We start from the raw sequence: 1,003 nt of genomic DNA on the forward strand, positions 1-1,003 counted from the left end.
CTTGTTTTTGATTTTACAGACTCTTAGGTAGAAAGGACTTGTCTCAGATGAGATTTTGGACTGTTGACTTCTGAGTTAAGGCTGAAATGAGTTAAGAATGGGGGACTATTGACAAGGGATTATTGTATTTTGCAATGTGAGAAGAACAAGAGATTTGGGAGGGGCCAGGGTTAGAATGATATGGTTTGGATTTGTGTTCACACCCAAATCTCATGTTGAATTGCAATTCCCAATGTTGAACGAGGGGCCTGGTGGGAGGTGATTGGATCATGGGGGTGGATTTCTCCTTGCTGTTCTCATGATAGTGAGTGAGTTTTCATGAGGTCTGGTTGTTTAAAAGTTTGTAGCACCTCCCTCTTTACTCTTTTCCTACTGCCTTGGGCATGTAATATGCCCCTCCTTCCTCTTTGACTTCCACCATGATTGTTAGTTTCCTGAGGCCTCCCCAGCCATGCTTCCTGTACTGCCTGCAGAACCATAAGCCAATTAAACCTCTTTTCTTTATAAATTACCCAGTCTCTGGTAGTTCTTTATAGCAATGTGAGAATGGACTAATAAAACATCCCACCAGGCCCTACCTCCTCCAGCATTTGGGATTACAATTCAGCATGAGTTTTGGGCAGGGACAAATATCCAAACTATACCAATATGTATACAAACATTTGCAAAAATGATCAGAGTTTAATAAAATGAATTTAATATTTTCTAAATTGTCATGTATTATAGACCACCGTCACCACAGTAGAGGACTTAAAAGATATATTTATACCCCTTGCCTCTCTATACTCCCTTTACATTGCCCCAGGTGGCAATGAAAACATCTAATACATAGATGCTAATATAAAATATATAGATGCTAATATATCTTAGCAGACATTTGACAGAGTTCAAGGAATAAAATCAATTTTATAGAAATTTTTTAAACATAGTAATATTGAAGAAAGTTTTCTACTCTGAAGTCATTATTTAAAAAGTCATATAGAGATATTTTTAAAAGTACAGA

The sequence above is a fragment of the Homo sapiens genome, chromosome 7, assembly GCF_000001405.40.
Source record: "Homo sapiens chromosome 7, GRCh38.p14 Primary Assembly".
NCBI classification, from domain to species: domain Eukaryota; kingdom Metazoa; phylum Chordata; class Mammalia; order Primates; family Hominidae; genus Homo; species Homo sapiens.